This window comes from Homo sapiens, chromosome 7 (assembly GCF_000001405.40).
Source record: "Homo sapiens chromosome 7, GRCh38.p14 Primary Assembly".
Classification (NCBI taxonomy): domain Eukaryota; kingdom Metazoa; phylum Chordata; class Mammalia; order Primates; family Hominidae; genus Homo; species Homo sapiens.
In genome coordinates this window covers 15,611,212-15,633,783 of record NC_000007.14, presented here as the reverse complement: position 1 = coordinate 15,633,783, position 22,572 = coordinate 15,611,212, and the positions used below count along the sequence as shown (strand labels likewise).

The following is a 22,572-nucleotide window of genomic DNA, read 5'->3' as shown; positions in this document are numbered from 1 at the left end:
GTCTAGAGTCCAGAGAAGCAAAGCAGACATGAAAATAAATGAAAAGTTCAATAATTTCTACATCACTGCTTAAAAATACATTAAAGCGACTATGATGACTTGCTAAAGAAATGGCTCAGAATTACAGCATAAATGCTAGTCCTTACACTCTGAGAAGGTGTGGACTTGTCTTTCATAATATAAATAAAAAACTCCATGGAAGTTTTCCTGTTGCATGTCCAAGGGTTTTACTGCACTACCGGCAGAATTGGTGCTGAATTTTCTGGCATCACACTGCAAATCTGTATGGTGTTATCTGATGCCATAAGAGGGCTCAATCCTTTTTGCCCTGTTGACAGCTGTAAATTAGAAATGTCACAATTCTTTCTGCCTTTGCCAAGTTACTATTGTCCTTAATTTGTGAAAATAGTTTCTTTCCCTCCCCATCTTCTCAAATATGCAGTAATACCATGTAATTCCAGGCCATTTGCTGACATAAGAGCTGAGTAGGAGGTGAATGGGGGACACATGTGGAAGCTTGAGTTCTCTTCACTATCTTGCCTATTGCTTCTGCGTGTATTAAAATTAAGTGTGAAAACAAGTATTATTTTTATTGACCTCCAGTGTCTGAATAAACTAGAACAAGAATTGGCCTCAAACACTTACGTTCTAGTATAGGAGAGAAAGCATCCGTACAGTGACATAATGTGGTAAGCATTGTAAGAAAGGAACAAAAGGAGTTTGAAGGGAGCTGACAGAAGTGGTACCCTCTTTAAACTAATATAATCAGGGAAAATGGAATGGAATGCTTTATGTCAAAAAGTCTTAATTAGGGCCTTTAGTCCCACTGTAGGTGCAAATGATGACCTTTGAGAAGTCCTTTGCTATTAGACAGATCCAGGCACAAGTGCCTTGTTTTGTTGGATGGATAGCCATGATCTTTCTTTAGTTTATGTTTTCTCTCTGGACTATAGCAAGAGCCATAAAGTCAATTCTGGGCTCTGTAAACTCTTTCTAAGCCTAGAAATGTGTAGCAAAATCTACAAAGTTTATTTTTACCCAGAAGACTTGTCCCGGTTTTGTTTTTGTGTTAAGTGCTTTGAAGTTGGTAGTTAGAAGAATCAAATCTGTGTCAAATTTGACGCAAGTAAATTGCATTATATTCCTATTTTATGTGTCTCTGGCCTTTAAAAATATTTTTTAACAAAAATACTTTGTTTTTGTTAATTTTGTTAAAATTTGTTTTGTTTTCGAATTGCACATTAATCATGACATTAATTTCATCACCATTTTTAGTTCTTTGTGAATTTGTACTTAGGTCATGGAAGAAGAACCATTGGGTTGGCATATTCTTACTATGAGGAAGCATTACATAATAATAAATTCTAGGAAAGGAAAGATAAAATTAAAACAAAATGACACATTAAAATCTCATCATTTAAAAATAAGGGTCTTCACTAAACAGGCTGTAAGGTAAAACTGAATTCATATATTGATGGGCACAAAAAATAAGGAATTAAAATGAGTTATGTACTATGCACCTATTTTAAAATGGCTAAAATTTCTGTAACTTCCATCACCTCAAAACTGTAGAGAAGAGAGGAGGAAGCAAAAAGAAAGACTTTGTTCTAATACTAGCCAGTTTATTCCAGCAATGCAATGCAATGCCAAGGAAATTTTATTACCTACTTCAAGGAAACGTCTACATCTAAGGTATGGAGGACTTTAGAGACCTAAGTATTTTATTTTTGTATAAATTCTGAGATATGTGTTTGCAAATTTTTCAAATCCATATCCATGCTAAGTTGCTAAATTTCTACCAATTTAAGAATAATCTTGTGCTATTTTCTCCTCTCTCTCTCTCTTTCTCTCCACACACACACACACACACACACACATTTAACCTTGGCTTAACTTGCTCTTTTCTTTTTGGTAAAATTTTATAGCCTGTGATAAATTTATGATATTTCCAAAAATTAAAATTCTCTTTCATATTAAAATAATATGTAAAATATATAGATTTTATAAAGCATCTCAAATCTTCATACTTTCCCATTTATATCATTGCTTTGTACAGCATAAATTATAAGTTAGCAATTGTAATGTTTTCTTATGTAAGTAGCTATTGCTAAATACTGATGCAATCATGTGAATAAAATTTTCATCAATCTCATTTTAAGAATGAGTGGTGTAAACATAAGCCTAAATATATTGAGAAAAAGTCAAGTCTATAAACTTAAATTGAAAAACTATTACATAAAACTTTTAGCTATACAGTTACTCTTTCAATATAGACCATTATATATGAACTTAAATGCCTTTAACAGGAATAAATAGGATATCCTCTATAAATTATTTGTTCAAGACATATAATTGGCTACATAAATATAATAAAAAATAATCTATCTTCAATAATACTAAATTGGGATTTATCTGATTTATTTCCTCCCCGAAAGCATATTAGACAAACCCAAGAATAATCAAGATATTGAGCAGAGAGGACAGATAGTGAAAAAGAGTACATCTGCCAATTGATAATCACTGCTCAGCAGGTACAATGATTTTTTTTTTTTGCATTTTGAAGAAAACTATCACAATAATAATTATAACTCGATGGAAATTCCTTTTTTGGTATGTAAAATTTGGGTTTGCTTTGTAAGAGAATGTATTATTATAGCTATCAAAGAGGTACAAGAAATAATAGATGTTTTCTGGCTATCCTATTCTGGATCTAACATAGTGGTGCTCGATCCAATTTTTAACTCCTCACACACCTTAGTGTATAATCGACACATTCATGAATCATAGTAGCTCGCTATGACTGTGGTTCTCAAATCTGGAAAGTGGATTGGCAAGAGGATTTAAGAACTCCTGGAGAAGGTTGTTTACTTTGAAAAAAGAAGAAACACTGAGAAGCTGAAATGCTCACTCATTAATGAGCTGGAGTAGCAAGTTGGATAAGTGCCCATAAAGAAGGCAATTTCCCCTTTAAATGTGAAAATTACTAGCACCAATAGAATGATTTCATAAATTTTTCTGACTCCATCCACAATCCCTATGCCTACGTAAAAATTATTAGCTTTCCATAACTATGGGTTTGTGCAGTTTTGTTAATAAATAATGAAATATCTCTCATTTTGAATAGTTTACAAAACATTGATACAAAAGTTACAGCAATATGCTGAGGCTTAGTATTCATTTTTCTTCAGGATATGGAACTAGAATTTATATTAGTCCAAGCTATACAGACATTCCATTCCATTTTGATATTTTACAGACATAGGTAAATTATGTTCTTCATTTAAACGAGCTAATACGTTTACCCAGAGTAGCCAAAAATATTCTCAATCGTACTTTTATTTCTCTTTTGCTAAATAGCACTCTGTGCCACTAGTGAACAGACCAAGCCCTCCCATTACTTGTCTTCAATAAAACATTATTATCTTTTGGCATTCTCTTGCACTAGGGGAAATAAAAAGTCACATGTGGAGAAGTTCTAAATGCTAGACAGAAATGATCCTTGGAGGGCAATTTTTATCCTCCACGGAAGTATTGCAGACTTCTTCCATTAGCGTAGTCCCAGGGAGCAAAAGGTTAGGGAACTGGGACTGCCAACCATACCTGAACACATAAGTCAACATTTCCTCGAAGCGCTGAGAGAGTGTGTGAATGGACCCACAGGTGCATTAAAGTATCTGAGACGAAAAACAACAATTGTAGTATTTTACATTGGAATATACTGTACAGATGGTGACATTTTGTTTGTGGTTGTAGAGAAGAAAGGAAGGCAGTGTCCAGATTCCCCCCTCAGCACCTACCATTTGGCATAGGATATGGGAGGTTGAAGAAAAGGGAGGGACTTTTGCCTCACTTAGAACAGCTGGGAAACAGATGGAAACTGATGCAAAAATTGTCAAATGCATGGTGCAAATCTTCCATCCATTTTCTACCAAAGAAAGTCTAGCTGGGTAATGGCAGTAGAGGCCTTAGGGTCAGCAAGTGATAGGGTTTGGAAACTGTAAAGAAAGAGGTAAAAATATTTTAAAAAACCAAGACTGTAGGAAATACAAATCCAGAAATGCAATTCCAAGAAGCATGTTTTTAATAAAAGAGAATGAGGGTTGTGATGGAAACCACACTACAAGGGTAAAAGTAGTGGCTGGATTAATCAACACTGGTGCCACTTCAACTACATGAACGTTCTCTCTCATAGGAGGTGATATCAAGAAGCATACATCCACTCTGTCATCTAATTTAATGTAATTTAATTACAATTCAATGGTTCTTTGTGTGGTTATAAATATGAGTGTGCACAAGTTACTTCATTTTAGTCATTGGATTTCACTTTGTGAGCAATTTTTGGTTTGGTATTCAAGCATTCAGTAAATAATTTATGGATTTAAATATTGAACTACAGCCAGATTTTAGCTTAAATCCAGTCACTGGCTGTATAAACCTCCTGTTGTATATTTCTAGTTACAATGAGTGTGTATATAGACCCATTACCTGTGAGTGTCCTTCTGAGAATTGGCCCATGTTTTGTGTTTTTGTTTGTGTGACTGTGTGGTATTTATGAAGTACTTTTGAATATTGCAAAAGTTAAAGAAGATCACTTTCAAAGAAACTCAAATAAATACAAGTCAAAGCCTTTCCTGAATTTGAATTTGTTCATTCATGCTTACATAAGGGAATGTGCTAACCATGAATCATTCAAATTGAACTGCTCATGAGAAAAAGTGTGCTGGCTTTACTGTCAGTTTCCAGAGTTGCTTGACTGAAAGGAAAAGAGCATTGTCTCCACATAAAGAATAATCAGCCACAGATTTTAGGCAAAGCAGGGATCCAAATTGGCAAAAGTTCTTTCAATTCACCTGAGAACGTGGATGCTTGTGAGAAGGTCTTGCTATCTGAATATTCTGTACTGTGACTGAGTTTGCAGGCTGCAAGAACAGCCCACGGAAAAGTTTAAAAAAATCAATCATTTGGAAATGTTGTTCACACAATGCCAGAATAGCTAAATGCTCCACCAATGTGGATGCTGACATATCTGTAGCTAGAGGCAATTGGATGATGGACTGCAGTTTCCATCCTTGCAGCCAGGTAAGTTGGCACCATGTAAACATGGCCTACCTGAGAGCACACACATCATCTCTTATGTCACTCACCTGGTCCCAGTGGCTTTCTATAAAGTGCAATCAACCTGTGCATGACATGTCACAAACTACTTTGGTGCTGGATAAAGCCCCACATACCCTGCTAAGGTGAGAAGCTAGCTGATACAGGGATAAGTGACAAGCCCAGAAACGTGGTCAGTGAATGAAGAGTTTTAGATAGTGCCAGTGCACCAGTGAGTGAAACAGTCTGTGATCCATCAGAGGATAAGTAATGGTCAGTGTGCCAAGGTGTTGAGGCAACTTATTGCTGCTGCTGCTGCTACTAGACCTAGAAAACTTTACATCTGGCTCACTTAGATACTGCTAAGAATCAAAGTAAAAGTCTTTACATTAAAGTGCCTTGTCTAGTGAATTTCCATTATGCAGGGTCCTCTTTAGTTCAGTTAAACATCCCTCAGGCAGACAGAAAGAAATAGAACACTAAAAAATTCATTTTTGTACTTCTTAGCATATTTAAGCATCATTGCATGAAAAAAAACATAATCTAAAAAGATCCTGCATAAGCCATGCCTTATTATATTTGTCAATTAAAAAAACAATTAAAATGTCACTCTTTGAAACCTTTGGTTAATGATCATCTTTCTACATCAATTTTCTATCATTTGGGTTCCTAGAAGAGTTAAGTGTATTCACACTTTTTAAAGATATCACAGCTTGTTTGTACATGTGCAAAAATAATTAGATACCAGAAATAATTTTCAGGAGAGCATTAATGTGCCCTTTTTTCTTGATTATGTTGATATTTCACTGAGGATAAATTTGCCCTAAGTTATTAGAGCTGGGTATGATTACTTTTTACTTGACGTGTGTGTGTGTGTGTGTTTACTATTGATTCACGTTCTGCTTTTTAGTATATTAAGAATGTCTTCTGACCTACATTTCAGGGGTATTTATGAGGATAAAAGAAATTCTATACGTTAGTTATGTATTGAACCCTTAAGAGGAAAAATGGAATGATATACTCAAAATTGCTATTGGTATTTTACACTGCATTATAAGATTTGATGTTGTGGATCACTGATGTTACATGTTGTGCACCTTATGTTTATCTTATATATAATGAAAAACACATTTAAAAACTCTGTTCATAGTTTAAGTCATATGAACACAATTTCATTTATAGATTCCATGTTGGACTAAGTATAATATAAAATAAAAGAACATTGCTATTGCCCTCAAGAATTTTACTTAAATACAGATAAAAAAGCCAATAAGTACACACATACTTTTACATACGCTCAGTCTGAGCATAAAATTTTTTATGGTCCAGTTGCTAAACGTTTGAATTTCTCAAATACTCCTATATTGAGATGCCACTTTTTAAAGGATTACTATGTTCAATCTTACTTAGACCTCAAGTACGTATGTTCAACAACTTATGAAACAGAACTTCATATCTAAAAGTGTTTTCTAGAGAGGTTTTGGTTTATCTTAATATCATACTACAAGCAGTTAAAGGTTTTGTTAATATTTTATAAGAAGAAAATTACATGCTTTCCCAAATGGACTGTGAGTTACCTGAAGGAAGATGAAAAAAATAAGAATTATATCTCCCCCCGTTGAGCTGCCGTCAGTCTTGCTGTCTTTGGTCTCTATTTGTTCCATGTCTAGCGCAGTACCTGGAAAAGTAGTAATTCAATAACTGTGAATAATATGATTGCATGTGTTTGAATAAATGAGTTATTACCAATTCTGTCTCCCTTTTTTTTCAGACTCCCAGGAAGGAAATTACAAGTCAGAAGTCAACAGCAAACCCAGGAAAGAAAGGACAGCATTTACCAAAGAGCAAATCAGAGAACTTGAAGCAGAATTTGCCCATCATAATTATCTCACCAGACTGAGGCGATACGAGATAGCAGTGAATCTGGATCTCACTGAAAGACAGGTAAAGCTGGGCATTATCATTATATGATCTTTTTTAATTGCCCTGGGTCCACAGTCTTCTTTGCCATATTTGAAATACCTAGATCCAGAATTCTTGAATACCATTTGGAAGACAGTTATACTATTCCATGATAAAATTTTGCCAGCAAAATAACAAAATTAAAAATAATATAGTGATATTTGAAAGAAAACCATACTTATTGAGTTGAAGAAAGAATCCTCCTATGATTATTATCCTTCTGTATTTTTGGGTTTTAAAATATTATTTCTTTTACATAATGATGGCATACAGTGAGGAGTTGTGCATGCTTATATGTTAAAATCTCCTTATTTGGCATATTAGAAAGTTGGTAAACCCAGATTAGTTTTCTGTATTGCTCAGGATAGGTCATGATAAGTTGCAGTAACACATTCACCCTCAAATCTCAATGGCATAACATAAAAATGTTCATTACTTACTCACTCTCCATACAAACTCTACATGTCCAGCATTCCAGATAATCACTCACAGACCCATTCTGACTCTTTAGCATCTCAACATGTGGTGTCCATGGTAACTACAAGAAATAAGAAAGAATTGGAAGTTTATGCACTGACCTTTAAATGTTTTCACCTGGAAATTAGCCATGTCACTTCTATTTACACACTAATGTCTAGAATAGTCAAATGGTGCGGCTTAGGTGCAAGATGGCTGGGAAATGATGAAAGGCAAGGACACATAGATCATTGGTAAATATTTCTGCCCCTTTACCCAAAATATTTTTGAAATTGTATCGGTGTCAGTAATTCAAAATTCTGCTACCCACTCAGAGAATACTTTGAAATTATTAATGTTTTTGGACTCCAATTAATGAGACCTAAATAATATTTTTAAATTAATTGCTTTTTAGGTCCCTTTCTTGCATTTTTTTTGAATGACAAATGATTTGTTCTAACAGTGTTCCCAGTGAATTCCTTGTACAGATTCTTGTTTCCCTGAGGAGAATCTAGCCTACTGCCGGTTAACAGTTGCTAATCTTTACAAAAACATTCCTGAAAGGCAAATGCAAACATCTTTATGGACAGTGCAGTTATGATTGGCACTCTTAGGGCTAGAGTCTCATTTCCTCTTTCACTGTGTGTACCTCCTCCAGGATCCCATTGGAACCAAAGAAATATCAACAGGGTGTGGACAAATGAATGCATGTCTTAAGAGAGCAAGTTATTTTATCCAATTTCTTAAATGACCTGCTTTCCTTCTGTTAATTTTTACATTTCAGCTTTGGTAGGTTATTTATGGGTAGTAGAAATATACAGAGGAACACTTTTCTGTGGTTTTATTTATTGGCAGTTTGTATTTTATTACATATTATGACTAGTACCTATGTTATGGAGCACAGCATTTTCCTTCCCTTAGACTTCACATACAAAATTCCCTCTATGGGTTCAACATTTGGCATGCTGGAAAGCAGGATCCAAAGTCTACATCATCAGACCTCTATTTTATTATTTTTTTTAAACAGGGAACGGAAAATAAAAAGGTGTATGTGGAGGGAGAATTACACACTAATGTTCTTATATAGAGATGGTGAATTCTAGGAAATGCAACCGTGTTTTATATAGTAGATGAAGGAACTAGGAAACTAGGATTTGCTTCCAATCTGTAGAAATGACAGGATCCAGTACTGTGCTCTCAGCCAAGAGGAAAAACAAGATTCTGTACTTGACATTTTGGGGGTGGTCTACGGTTATCTGTCATTGTTTGACCACGGAGCAGAATCATTTATCTTTAGAAGCAGTTTTGTAAATCTGGTTTGAAAACGTTGAAGGTGTCTTGGATATTTCTTCTTTCTAACTGACTTCAGGAGCTTGGTAAAGAATTACATGCAAGAATTATATATACCTATACATACTATTTTAATGTTGTTTTAAAGATTCTTTTAACATTTTGTGTTAGTTACCCTTTGCTGTGTAACAAACCACTCCAAATCTTAATGGCTTCAAATAATAACCAAAGTTTTATTTGCTTTAGGTTTTGTAGGTTAGAGATTTTGACTGGGCTTAGTTGGACAGTAATACTGCTGGCCCTACATGGAACCCTCATGGAGCTCCAGTCAGCTGGTGGGCTGACTAAGAAAGAGATGGTTGGGCCTCAGCTGTGGTTTCATCTTCTTATAGGCTAGCTTGGGATCCTTCCAATGGTGATAGAAGCATTCCCAGGAGCACTGAGGGGGAAAACTCCGGTGAGCAAGGGCTTTTCAGGCCTCTTACGTCATATTTGCTAGTGTCCCATTGTCCAAAGCAAGCCATGTGACCAAACTCAGTGTCAGTGTAGGACAAGATCGCTTCATTGGAAGTCATTCCTGAAATAATCTAACCACAGCATCACAGGGGGGAAATTAACACAGAACATGAGAGATAGTTCAGTTTTCATTGAATTGAAAATTTGTTATTGTGCACAATATATTTTTATTCCATAAATCTCTACGTGCAGTTTTGCAAGTTAATGTGAAAAGATGTATACATGCAGAATTTAAATTCCTAATCAAAACTAAGGCTTTAGAGGGCCTCCCTGGGTTAGTCAAAAAGAATTTAATTGTTATGAAAAAAATCTGAATAAAAATCCAAGGTTTGCTGATTAGAATTGTGTGTTCTTAAGTAAGTAACAATCTCCCCAAGGCATAAAATGGAAATTAAAACCTGCTCTTTCTTCTATGTAGATTTGTATATCATAATGGGTATGAAATAATTTTTAGTGTAAACTATAAAACAGAATTATCACCCAGGTGGGAAAAACCTTTGCTATGCAAAGCATGTTGAATTAATCATTTTGTAACACAAATATTTGTTGAGCTAAGTGCTGGAAGTAAAATCTTAAGCTAAAGAAATACCTGTTAGAATTCATAGAAGAGGTAAAAATTGAACAAATATTCACAATTGTTATGAGTGTAGAATGTCACAGGAGAGGAATGATGTAATTGTATTGGATAATGTTTCTGGTTGCACCATTTCATTCCAACATTTCTATGCACACATATTATCTTAAGTTTCTTAAATTAAGAATCTGTGCACAAAATATCTTAAATTAACAATCAAGCTGGGAGTGGTAGCTCAAGCCTGTACTTGTCCCAGCACTTTGGGAAGCCAAGGCAGGCAGGTCACTTGAGGTCAGGGGTTCAAGACCAGCCTGGCCAACATGGTGAAACCCCGTCTCTACTACAAATACAAAAATGAGCCAGGCGTGGTGGCAGGCACCTATAATCCTAGGTACATGGGAGGCTGAGGCAGGAGAAACATTTAAGCCTGGGAGGCAGAAGTTGCAGTGAGTTGAGTTTGCACCACTGCACTCCTGCCTGGGTGACAAAGTGAGACTCTGTATATAAAAAAAAATCACATACTTAAATTATGTGTCTATTTTAAGTTATATTGTATTTTCTGGGCTGAATTTTACTGTGCTGAATTTATCAGAAAAAATATACTATGATGTCAGTTGTCAACTTTGCTATTCTTGAAGGTCAGATGGCATATTCTTTCAAAATGCCAGGGCTCTCATCCCAGTGAAATATTTTCAGTTTATTTTCTGGAGGTTGGGGTTTTAAAGTTATTAACAGAATTACAAACAGAACACTTTAAAATCCATCTTCTGTAATTTGCAATGCAGCTTGTAGTCTATTGGGGCTGCTATAATGAAATACCATAGACTGGGTGGCTTATAAACAACACACATTTATTTCTCACAGTTCTGGAGGATGGGAAGTCCAAGATCAAGGCATCAGCAGATTCGGTGTCTGGTGAGCACACACTTCTTCATAGACTTCCATTTTTCCATTCTACCTTGATATGATGGCTGAAGAGGCTAGGTAGCTCTCTGGGACCTCTTTAATAAGGGCACTAATCTGAGTAATGCTAGATCTGTTCTTACGACCTAATCTCATTCCAAGGGCCCCATCTCCTAATGCCGTCACCTTGAGGGTTAGGATTTTAACATAAGAATTTGGAGGAGACATAAATATTTAGACCATAGCATGGCTATTCCATTACTTAGATTTTATATTAATCTCATAAATGCTATGTTTAGCCATGTAATCTATATCTTGACCCTATATAATCTTAAACAACATCCTTCCCTAGGATTTCCACATGTAAAATATCTAATTATAGATATGTTGTCTTTTCATATTCATTCTTTAAGACTTATTTTTTTCATATGTTAAAATAACCTGAGATTCAGTAAAATAAACATATACACCAAGGAATATTACATCTAACCTCATATTGTTCAATATTTTCCTTAGCTTTAATAGAATTATTTGAATATAAAATAGTTTCCTTAACATTGTCAAGGTCTTTTGAAATTCAAATGCAAAGACAGGACTTATAGGCTCATTTTATATGGGTGTGTGATTCAAAAGCAGAGACAGGACTCATAGGCTCATTTTATGTGTGTGTGTGTAAATATACACATATGCAAACACATACACACACATATACACAGATATATATGTATGTGTATGCATATAAATATATACACATCTCCATACTTCTAACTATATGTATATCTATCTACATCAAAAGAAAGATATCATGCAAACAGGGAAAACAAATATTAAATTATATAATAAGATTGCTTTTGTTTGTGTGTTTGTTTTTTGAGACAGAGTCTCGCTCTGTCACCAAGGCTGGAGTGCAGTGGTGCAGTCTCGGCTCACTGCAACCTCCGCCTCCTGGGTTCAAGCAATTCTCTTCCTCAGTCTCTCTGGTAGCTGGGATTACAGGCACCTGCTACCATGCCCGGCTAATTTTTTGTATTTTTAGTAGGGACGGGGTTTCACCATCTTGGCCAGGCTGGTCTTGAACTCCTGACCTCGTGATCCACCAGCCTCGGCCTCCCAAAGTGCTGAGATTACGGGCTTGAGCCATGGCACCTGGCCTGTAACAGAATTGTTTTTGAGAAATAATTTTCTCCTAAATGAAAACTTACTTTACAATCAGAACTAGTCTTTAGACATATTGTCATGTGGAAATTGTACATGATTGACAATAAAATGTGCATGTCTATCACTGATGTTATTTGTGGCTACCCCTACCTTACTTATATCACCGATCAGTATATCCAACACAAATTTTATGATGACTCATATATGTGTCATGAAGATTTGCAATAATAATTAGGTTTCCTTTTAGAAAAACATAAGGTATATTAAATCCTTAAATATCACTCAGGACTTGAATTTCCAAATTCCATTCTGAAGAATAGTCATGGAATCACACAAAGATGTCACACTCTTACATTTGCATCTTCCATAATGCAATGTCAGGGTAGTCTATAATTCTGTTTGAACTTCATCTGGCCAAAGAAGGAAAAAAAGAGGCTCATTCTGCAAAGTAATTCCATGTTAGCACACAAGTGTTAAAGAAAATCATTTTATGTTAAATAAAAATGCAGAAACTAGAATGAAGCTGAGCTTCAAATATTTTAATTATATAATGTTGTTTGTTGAACAGTTACAGATCACTCCAGTAAATCTTCTAGCTTCTAACTTACAGCTTCTAGTTTACAACATATTCTCATATAACCTTCAAGATCAACAGATAATAATCTTCAATTGTCAGAGTCACCCCGAATGATTTGCAGAGAACTCAGTCTAAAGGCTCTCCAGTTTCAAGGTATTTTTAATTTGGACAAGCTTATTCTGGCGTTTTTTTCTCCATCCAGATAAACTTGGAGAAAACTCCCACCAGATTTTTAATATCTCACAGTGGGAAGACGAGAGAAAGCAGCTGCAGGAGCATATAAAAGAAGTGGTAAAATGGACATTTTTATAGAGTTAAGGCTGCCAAATATAGACAGAATGGGAGATCCTTTCACTTCAAAACATCTTTTTCACAGAGCTAATCAAAGGTGTAATGTTGTAGACTTGTAAACTAGTTAAGATTACTGGAATAAACAGACTAAATTAATGATACTTCTGCCAAGATAAATGGAAAATCCCACCTAACGAGATCATACTCCATTGGTGGAAATGAGAGGGATTATGTTTTGTTTTTTACTCATAAATCATCAAATGGCCCAATGCCAAGTATTTTCAAAATAGCTATCATTTTTTTGATGACTACTAAAGAGAAATATTTTGTGTGCCAAATAAAGAGTGGTTTTGTCTTTTGCTCAGCTGTTTTTTTTGTTTTGCTTTTTTGTTGTTGTTGTTGTTGTTTGTCACCCAGGCTGGAGTGCAGTGGCTTGATCTCGGCTCACTGCAAGCTCCGCCTCCTGAGTTCAGGCCATTCTCCTGCCTCAGCCTCCCGAGTAGAGTAGTTGGGACTACAGGAGCCCGCTACCACGCCCGTTTTGCTCAGCTATTTTACACAATCTCTCTGCTTCATAGTTTTATTTCTACAAATGTATACATTTAGTTACTTAGCTAATTATGTCTCCATGAGTTGACTTATTGTCTATTCATGTTAATTCAAGTCTACCTATGTAGCCACACTTTAGAATATTTCTTTATTTCTTTACAGCAGTATATAGGAGTCATCTAGAGAAACAGTAAGATGTTTTATTTGCTTAACTCATGATATGACAATTATTAAGAATAATTTGACTACAACTGGTAAAATGGGGAGAGTAAAGGGTAAAAGAGTTGACGATGGGATATGAGAGGGGATTTTAATATTAAATATAAAGAGACATTCCTGATAATGCTTTTATTTAAATAAATAAATACATATTGACAGTATTGGTAAGCATCAAAAACTAGACTCAAAACTACTTCAGCTTCCACACAAAAAAGGTTATGATACATGAAAAGTAACTTAAGATCAATAATAAAGCAAGATCTATTCGGTGCAAACAATGTTTTAACCTAAAATTAATTTTCAGAAATATTACCTGTATAAAGTAAAAGACTAAGAAATAAGTAACTCATCCCTAATAAATGTAAATATTTAAATTTCAAATAATATTTTAAAAACCAAAGAAAAATAAACGTTACCTTTATTGAACTGGCCTTAAGAATATATAATCTGTTTTCTTTTAAAATGCTATCTTTCTTTTGATGTAGATAGGTAGACATATGTATAGTTAGAGGTAAGGAGATGTATCTATCTATAGATATATATACACACACACATATCTGTGTATATGTGTGTATGTGTTTGCATATGTGTATATATACACACACACACAAATAAAATGAGCCTTTATTTTAGAGATTTTACTGAAATTTGCTCCTCTGATTCTTGCTGTAAACGTTCATCAAGCTGGTATAATAAAAGGATAAAGATAATTCTTCCCAGGAGTCTAAGAATTTTCCACTTTTTGTTTCTCAGTTTCCTCACTAGGGAAGCAAAAATATTAATTTATATGTAATCAACAAATTAACAATAATGTTAGGGAACATATCATACATTACATCACAGCATCATCACTTAGAGTGTACTGCTAAAGAAAGAGACTTCTGCTATGAAAGATCACTCCCAGCATTCCTTTTCTACACTATTCTTGCATCCATAAGTTTTATTCATGTTAAAAAAAATTCTAAAACTGAGATGCTTCTAGATATTTTGAGAAGCTCGTGCAAGTTTTGTGTTGGCATTGTCAATTTTAAGAAAATTTTCTACTATCTACATCTTTATATAGAAGAGTACATACATATGTTCTGTGACATCTATACAATAATAAACCCAGGCCTAAGAGAACTGACAATTTTCTAGAGACTTTGACTATAAACGACTTTGTACCAATTATTCTCCATATTTCTATGTCTCCTCATGAAAAACTCAGAGATGCATTCAGTTTAGAATAGACTTTGAACTTCAGATCCCTTTGTCACTTCCAATTTTTTATGATGAACGTATATTTTTAAATTTTTGACGGTTTTGAAGTTATTAAAATTATTGACTTTTCTATGGGTCAGTGTATACTCACACAGAACTAATAATTTTATAAGTTTATATAATAAACTTGGATCTAAGGTGATAGTCTCTAAATCTGATAAATGAAATAACCAGGGCAGTAAAGTGTCACATAGATTCTGATAAAGAATTTAAACAATCATAAATAATCAAAATATTAATTTAATATTAATAAAAATCAGAATATAAATTTAGATTGAATCATAGTAATATTTCAGTATTCTACTCTTCTTATATAAAGGATTAGTTCCGTTGTTTCAGCTAAATATTTATATTCGATAAGTTATACTTAGAAGCTGTTAGCCAAAATATTGATGGTATTATGTTGCCAATTATTGTTAAACATGAGCCAAGAGATTGGGCAAGATGTTGAGATCAAAGACCATCATTCTAGTTGGTCTCAGTAGTTTGAACAAGATAAGCATGAAGTAGTGGCTCAGAATATACAAATTCCATGTCTTCAGGTATTGCTATTCAGTAATTTTATAACACAATAAAGAAAAAAAGTGCCTAATTTAGTTTTGATATTTTCATTAAATTTGATATAGTCTTTTATTCATGAAATACTTGAGTAAACAATATTTTACTTAAAATAACTAAAAGGTGTGTCTATTTTTTATCTCCTGTAAAAATGGGATTAAGAATAGTGAATTTTTACTGTAAATATGGTGAAAGAAGCCATTCGAGTTGAATTTTACCAGGTATAAAGGAAAACAATGGTTTACTAAAGGCCAAGTTAAAAGGAATCAATCATAGAACCACTTTGCTTTATCATGTGAATGGTTGCTTTCGGTTCATTTTTGGAAAGAAGAGTGAGAGTATAAGGTTGGCTCATAATTGTGCCTGTGAGATTCAAATCTGTCGTGGGGAATTTAATCTGTTGCCCCAAGAAAGGGTTAATCCTTGTTCAATATGTTATTTGTCCATGGCTGTCTATAGCTAATGTGTATTCATTTTGTTTTAAAAACATATGAAATGTGTAATTTTAAATGTTATGATTACATTAATGAGCCTGATCCACAAGACTTGGAAATAGAAAAAGAAGAGGCTTCAGAACTAAAAATTACAGAGGTAGGAAAATGATTCCCAATGTGCTAAATCAGTGGATAAAGGTGAGAGGCAGCCCTGTAAACAGGACTTAAGCCTTCAGTTATGAAGTATATCCTAACCCTCCACAGCCTCCCCAACACACACAAACACCCTTTAATTGTGGTAGAAACAACAGAGTCAATTAGTGGCTCCAATAAGCTTTTGGAAATAGCTGAAGAATTCCTTCTCTTAATCAGATATAAATCCATCTATTCAGGAAGAGTTAAAAAAGCTTTCTTTTCCCCATTTTTCACCTTTACTTTTAAGCATTCTTGCTTCTAATTCTAATACTACTAAATCAGTTGTAGTTCAGCTACTTTGTTAATGAATTACTTAGGCTAGTCTTTGGATTTACTAGATACACTGCCATGATCAAATTTAATCACTAGGGATGTGATCAAATCTGAAAATTTTATTTGTACAATTATCCTTTGCATGTTTTCACATCTCAAAGATATAAATAAATATTTGTTAGACAATGTCTACAATATTCCAAGTGCCCAGATAAAAATGGAAACAGTTGGAATATTAAATCTACAAATCCCAGATGTTTAGAGGCATCTGGCTATGTCACTGAAATTTTTAGTTTTCATCCAGATGTTTGATGTTATGGCTTTTTTCTTCAAAACACAGACATTTATGGTGTTACATAAATATGGGTTATTGCATTATATAGATTCAACTTTCTATCAACCTATTTGCCTCAGGACACCTTAGGAAATTGTGTGACAATACAGATTCATAAGTCACTTCTTTTGTCTGGTAATATATTGTGAAACCTAAAAGGACAGGTGTGAACTTACATGGTAAAGGGTGTAATGTGATGGCCAAATAAGTTACATTTACATTTCCTCCATTTTCTTGACCGTGAATACCTTAAGGGCAGGGACTATGTTTTATTTGTGCTTCAACACCTCCCATCTTTGATCTAACACAGTACAGGTTACTGGACATTTGGTAATATTTTTAAATGTATGAATGAATGAATAGAGATCCCAAGTCACCAAGGAAATGTGAGAATTCTTGTACTCTGTGTAGTTTATAAATTAATCTTATTATATAAAATGTGCTTATAAATTTAAATAAAAATAATTCAAATACTTATTTTTTAGTAAATAAAATTTTAGGCATTTGGATGATGATAATTTAGCTGTCTTAAAAACAAAAACTAAAAGTTTTTTTCATTACAGTCAATAAAGCTGGGTTAATAAAGTGATACTAAATTATACTATGAAGTCTCTATTTATAAATTGACTACTGTCCTACATTAATGACAATATTGATTTATAACCTGGAATTAAATTTGCAGATTTTGTTGGGGGGATTGCTAATACCGTGATGCTAATAGAAAAATGTGTGTTTTTCCAAAAATCCTTCTCCATTTATTTTAATTCACTCCAATATTTTATAGTATATTTGAAAATAAATCTGAACATATTGACTTTTAGAGTTCTATATTCTTCCTTCTATTTTCTATAAGATATGCCCATTATGTATTTGTTGCAATTTTTTGTTTCCTTGCTAAGATCACAGAATTTCAGTATCAAATATATAATCTAGGTTTTAAATAAAATAGTATATAAGGTATTAGAGTTATTCTATATAATCAAATGCATATTCTTATATGTTTATATCTATTCATATGTATATACATGTAGCTACTGTTGGCAATTAACTATTCAGTCTTTTTTCAATCTATTTTAAAAAATAAAATGGTAAAATTTCAACGATAGACATAGAAAACAACACAAAATAGGCCATAATATATCTAAAATCAATACCATATTCTTACATTTAGAATTATCTTATTTAGAATTGCCCATAACAGGTTTTATACTGATATTATATAATTACTATATCCCTTCTCCTAGAAAAAGAAATATATGTGGATTTTTAAAAGTATATTTCTCCTCTTTTTCTGCCAGGATTATTTAGACTGAATGTTTCAGCTCTTGGTGACAATGATGATGATCATGACATATGTATTTCTTCCATCTGGAATTGTCCATGAGAAAATATCCCTATAGGGAATCTTGAAAGGCTTATGATTCCAATATTAGAAATATGAAAATTGAGGTAGAGAGAAGTAAAATTTTCTCAAATTCACACAAAATGGAGAAGTAAAGCCAAGAGTAGAACCCAACTCATGTGGAATAGATCTAATGCAAAATACAATGTCAAGCTTGCAAAGGTAATTAAACTCAGTAGCGTAATTACCTAAATTATAATACAGGAAAATAGTGTCATATTTACAAACCTAATTATATCAAGTGGGAGAATTACCTGAATGATAGTAATCACATGGATGGCGTCCACATACTCTATATGCTTTTTTTTTATTACAAATGCTTTAAAAATAGGAGATTGAAATATAACAGGAACCAAAACAAACAAACAAAAAAACCAAAAACAAAACCCAGAATCTGGAATCAAACAAACCCCAGCCCTCACGTTTAAATCCTGGCACCAGGGTTTCCTTTCTGTGTAATCTTAGGTAAGTCACTTAACCTTTACCTCAACTTTATCATCTATAACATAAGAATAATGGTAATAATATCTGGAAAACTGTATTAGAATACTGTATAAACAGCACCAATAGTATAGCTGTCTATCCCTACATAGGTATATAATAAAAGGGAATTACTGATTATTTTGTTTAGTAAGTAATAATAATATGTGAACACCCGTCAACTACTTTTTAGTGAATCTTTTTTGTACTATTTTTTCTTATTTTTTATTGTCAAATTGATTAATACATGTTTGGGCAATATATGATACATGATTTCAACTATGGCTCTAAGTGAGACCAAGAAAAATCCAGAATAGAGAAATATCTCAGTTTAAATATTTCACTGTGAAAGCATGCTGATGAAGCATCGTGATTTGAAGATCACTGATATAATTATGTCTTTGGAAATTTAATATATTTTTCTTCACTGTCTCCATAGCACTATTTACAGAAATTGAAATTATTTCTAAACTGAAAATAGAGAATATTCAAAATATTTCTAACGTAGAAGAATGAAACAGAACTATCCCTAGCAAATATAAAGGTTTATTATAAAATTATAATTAATAAGATAATGTGGTTTTATCAAAACTATAGAAAAATTAATAAAGGAACAGAACAGAATACAGCAATAAAGCTATGCATATATGGAAACTTGATTTATGAACACAGATGAAACAGTGATCACTGGAAAAAAGCTGGGTTATTTAATAAATGGACCTGGGACAATGTGTTATCCATTTAAAATAAAGTAAAGTTAAGCCTATTCTTCAGACTATATACTAAAATCAGTACTTCATTGATTAAGTACCTCAGTTTGAAAGGCAAACTTTTTTTTTCTTTTTGAGACAGGATCTTGCTCTGTTGCCCAGGCTGGAGTGCAGTGGTGCAACAACCACTGACTGCAACCTCAACCACTTGGGCTCAAGCAATCCTCCAACCCTAGCCTCCTGAGAAGCTGGGACTACAGGCACTATGCCATCCCACCCACCTAATTTTATTTTATTTTATTTTATTTTATTTTATTTTATTTTATTTTATTTTATTTTATTTTATCTATTTATTTGTAGAGACAGGGTCCCACTGTGTTGGAAAAGGCAACCTTTAAAACTCTTAGAAGAAGACACAATAGAATATCTTACTGGCTTCAGAAAATAGATTTTTTTAGAAAAAGAAAACACAAAACACTAGTCATAAAAGAAACAATAGATAAATTTAAACATATTAATTAATATTAAGAGTTTCTAATCATCAAAAGACACTCTAAGAAAAGGAAAAAGAAACAGCATACATTGAGAGAAGATAGATAGCAGCAGCCATATAACTGCAGTCTCCAGGGAAGTTCCCATGATATGCTTATCAGGACACAAATGCAAGAATGTCTATAGCAGCATTACATATAGAAAAAAAAGAATTCAAATATCCATGGATGGTAGAACAGAAAAATGGTGCTATATTGACAGAATTTGGAATATTATACAATGATAAAAAATAAATAAATAGAGTCTTTTGAATCAACAAAGATGTGGCAAAAAGCCTACACTTAGGAACATTCCATTGATAAACCTAACAAACAAATAAAATTAAAGAGTATAGTTTTAATATTACTTGTTATGAAAAAAATTTGTTTTCTTTTTTAAGAAAGACTTGGAGGTGACACACAAAATTCAGGCTTGTGGTACTTTTAGGTGGGGTAGACAGAGAAATACAATGTAAAAAGAACACTTTGCTTGCTAGAAGCTATAATTATGAGAAATGCAATGTGAAAGAAACAGATTTCCTCCTAAACAAGATGCAATAATGCCAATTATATTCTAGTTCTGATAATGTATAGACCTTTAATGTCTGTTTGCTGTTTTTTTTGTTTTTAATACATATATGTTATTTAAATATATATATTTATTTAAATGTATTAGGCAAATTCAATGAAGCTTTTAAAAAGAAAATACCTGTACAAAGCTGATGTGAATGATGTAGTATATAATCTTGGTGTTAGCATTTAACAAATGTTGAGAATTTTTTATTGTGACCATATTTTAAAGAAATCACTAGATCAAATATTTGCAAAGTAAAATAAATGAATTAAGGTAGAAAATAAAAAGAAGAGTTCAAAAGAAGATAGGCTCAGTGTGAGGTGGAATGGTCAAATAAAGATTTGTGAAAGCAGCAGTAGTTTCTGATGGCAGAGTATGGCCTTTCAGATGCCGCTTAATCAGTAGCTGCAGGAGCATGTTTTAAATTGGTTCAGGAAATGACAGCTGGATGTCAAATCAAAGAAGAACTTAGGAGTGGGGGGCTTTGACCAACACAAATATTATGTTAGCTCCAATTCACAGAAGCTCTTTATAGACGCAAGTGCTTTGAGTGCCTTAAATGACAAAGTTTTTGTTTAGTTCCATATTTTACATTGTATGCTGTAAAATACAAATATAGTACTTTGTATGCACCTTTTGAAACTTTAAAAATTATTATCATGAACATGTAACCTGATTAAATTCAACGTGGATTTATTTTTCTATTCACTCCTTCATGGTGTCTTTGTATAAGCCTTTGAGGAACTTCTTTTCATTGATGACACTAAGGAGAAAAAAATGTCACTTTAATTATCTCTTTTTTTCTGTTTGTTTGTTCCCTTTCTTGGTTGAAGGTGAAAGTCTGGTTCCAAAACAGGCGGATGAAGTGGAAGAGGGTAAAGGGTGGACAGCAAGGAGCTGCGGCTCGGGAAAAGGAACTGGTGAATGTGAAAAAGGGAACACTTCTCCCATCAGAGCTGTCGGGAATTGGTGCAGCCACCCTCCAGCAAACAGGGGACTCTATAGCAAATGAAGACAGTCACGACAGTGACCACAGCTCAGAGCATGCGCACTTATGATATAAACAGAGGACCAGCTCCATTCTCAGGAAAGAAATGTTGTGATGGCAAGCCTTACCCAAATATCGTTTACACAGAGAGATGACTATGGCAGTGATGTTTAATATTATTAAATCCAGGCATTTCGAATCTGTTTTTCATGATTTATAGAGGGTTTACACAAAGTGCCACTTATTAAAGAGCTTCCACAGTGAAGATGGAGAAGGTGAACTTGCTTTGAATATTCCAGATGTGTTTGGTCGTGCGTATGGCAGTGAGCAGGTATGTGTTTGCTTTTGCTTGCACTGAAAATTAAATTGCTATCAAGAGCAAACTATGAACGGTTTTTTATTCAAGATGTCTCCAGAGTGAAGATGCCGAGGATGAACTTGCATTGAACATTCCAGATGTGTGAGATCATGTGTATTACAGTGGGCAGGTATTTGCTTTTGCTTGCACTGAAAATTAAATTGCTATCAAGAATAAACCATGAAACATTTTATCCTGAACAGCCACAGTGCCTGAATTCACTCAAGTGGATAAAAAGTGTATTTTAACTCTGTATATATTACCCTTAAGTCATTTTCCTGTCTTCACTAATTTAGCAATGCATTCATATTAGCTGATGAAAATAGGCACTCACAATGACAACCAGAGCCAGTTTCTTGTCTTTTTTATACATTTTGTCATCCCAGAGACAATCAGTATGTGCTTACCTGTGTTCAAGTAGAGAAAAATACAGTAGAGTCTGATAGGACATATTCTTGTACCACAGACAAAACAAATCTTATGTTGCATTTACTATCAACTGCTGCTAATACGTTATTATAAAACTTACCTAGCTCCTGAATTCTTCCTATCTTATAGCTTAAAACAATTAGGATCATAGGCAAATCAGTTACCTTGCAGAAAGAGCTTTGTATGACAGACATTGTCTTATTTTATTTCTGTAAAATATTAGCTGTATGAATATGATTTAATTAACAAGAAAACATTTCTTCCTGATTGACAACAGTGTTAGACAAGGTGCAAAGCGAAACTGGTTGCTCAAGTTGATAGAAAACAAAATTCTGAATATCTTCAAATTAAATTCGGTAAAAACACATTATTTTTTCATATGTGATGTATTCATGCAGAACAACTATCTTTGTATTTTGTTTTTAAAATGTGTTTAATAAATGATCCTTTGTAAATAA

The 22,572-nt window shown here is 33.5% G+C and overlaps 1 protein-coding gene across 1 annotated transcript in view; it reads left to right on the top strand.

Annotated features, from left to right (window-relative positions):
- Positions 1-22,572, top strand: part of MEOX2 (mesenchyme homeobox 2) — a 75,472-nt gene extending 52,900 nt beyond the window's left edge. The window contains exons 2-3 of the mRNA NM_005924.5: positions 6,866-7,038; positions 21,173-22,572. Coding sequence (NP_005915.2) covers positions 6,866-7,038; positions 21,173-21,397 — 398 coding nt within the window. The 3' untranslated portion in view covers positions 21,398-22,572. The remainder of the gene's footprint in view (positions 1-6,865; positions 7,039-21,172) is intronic.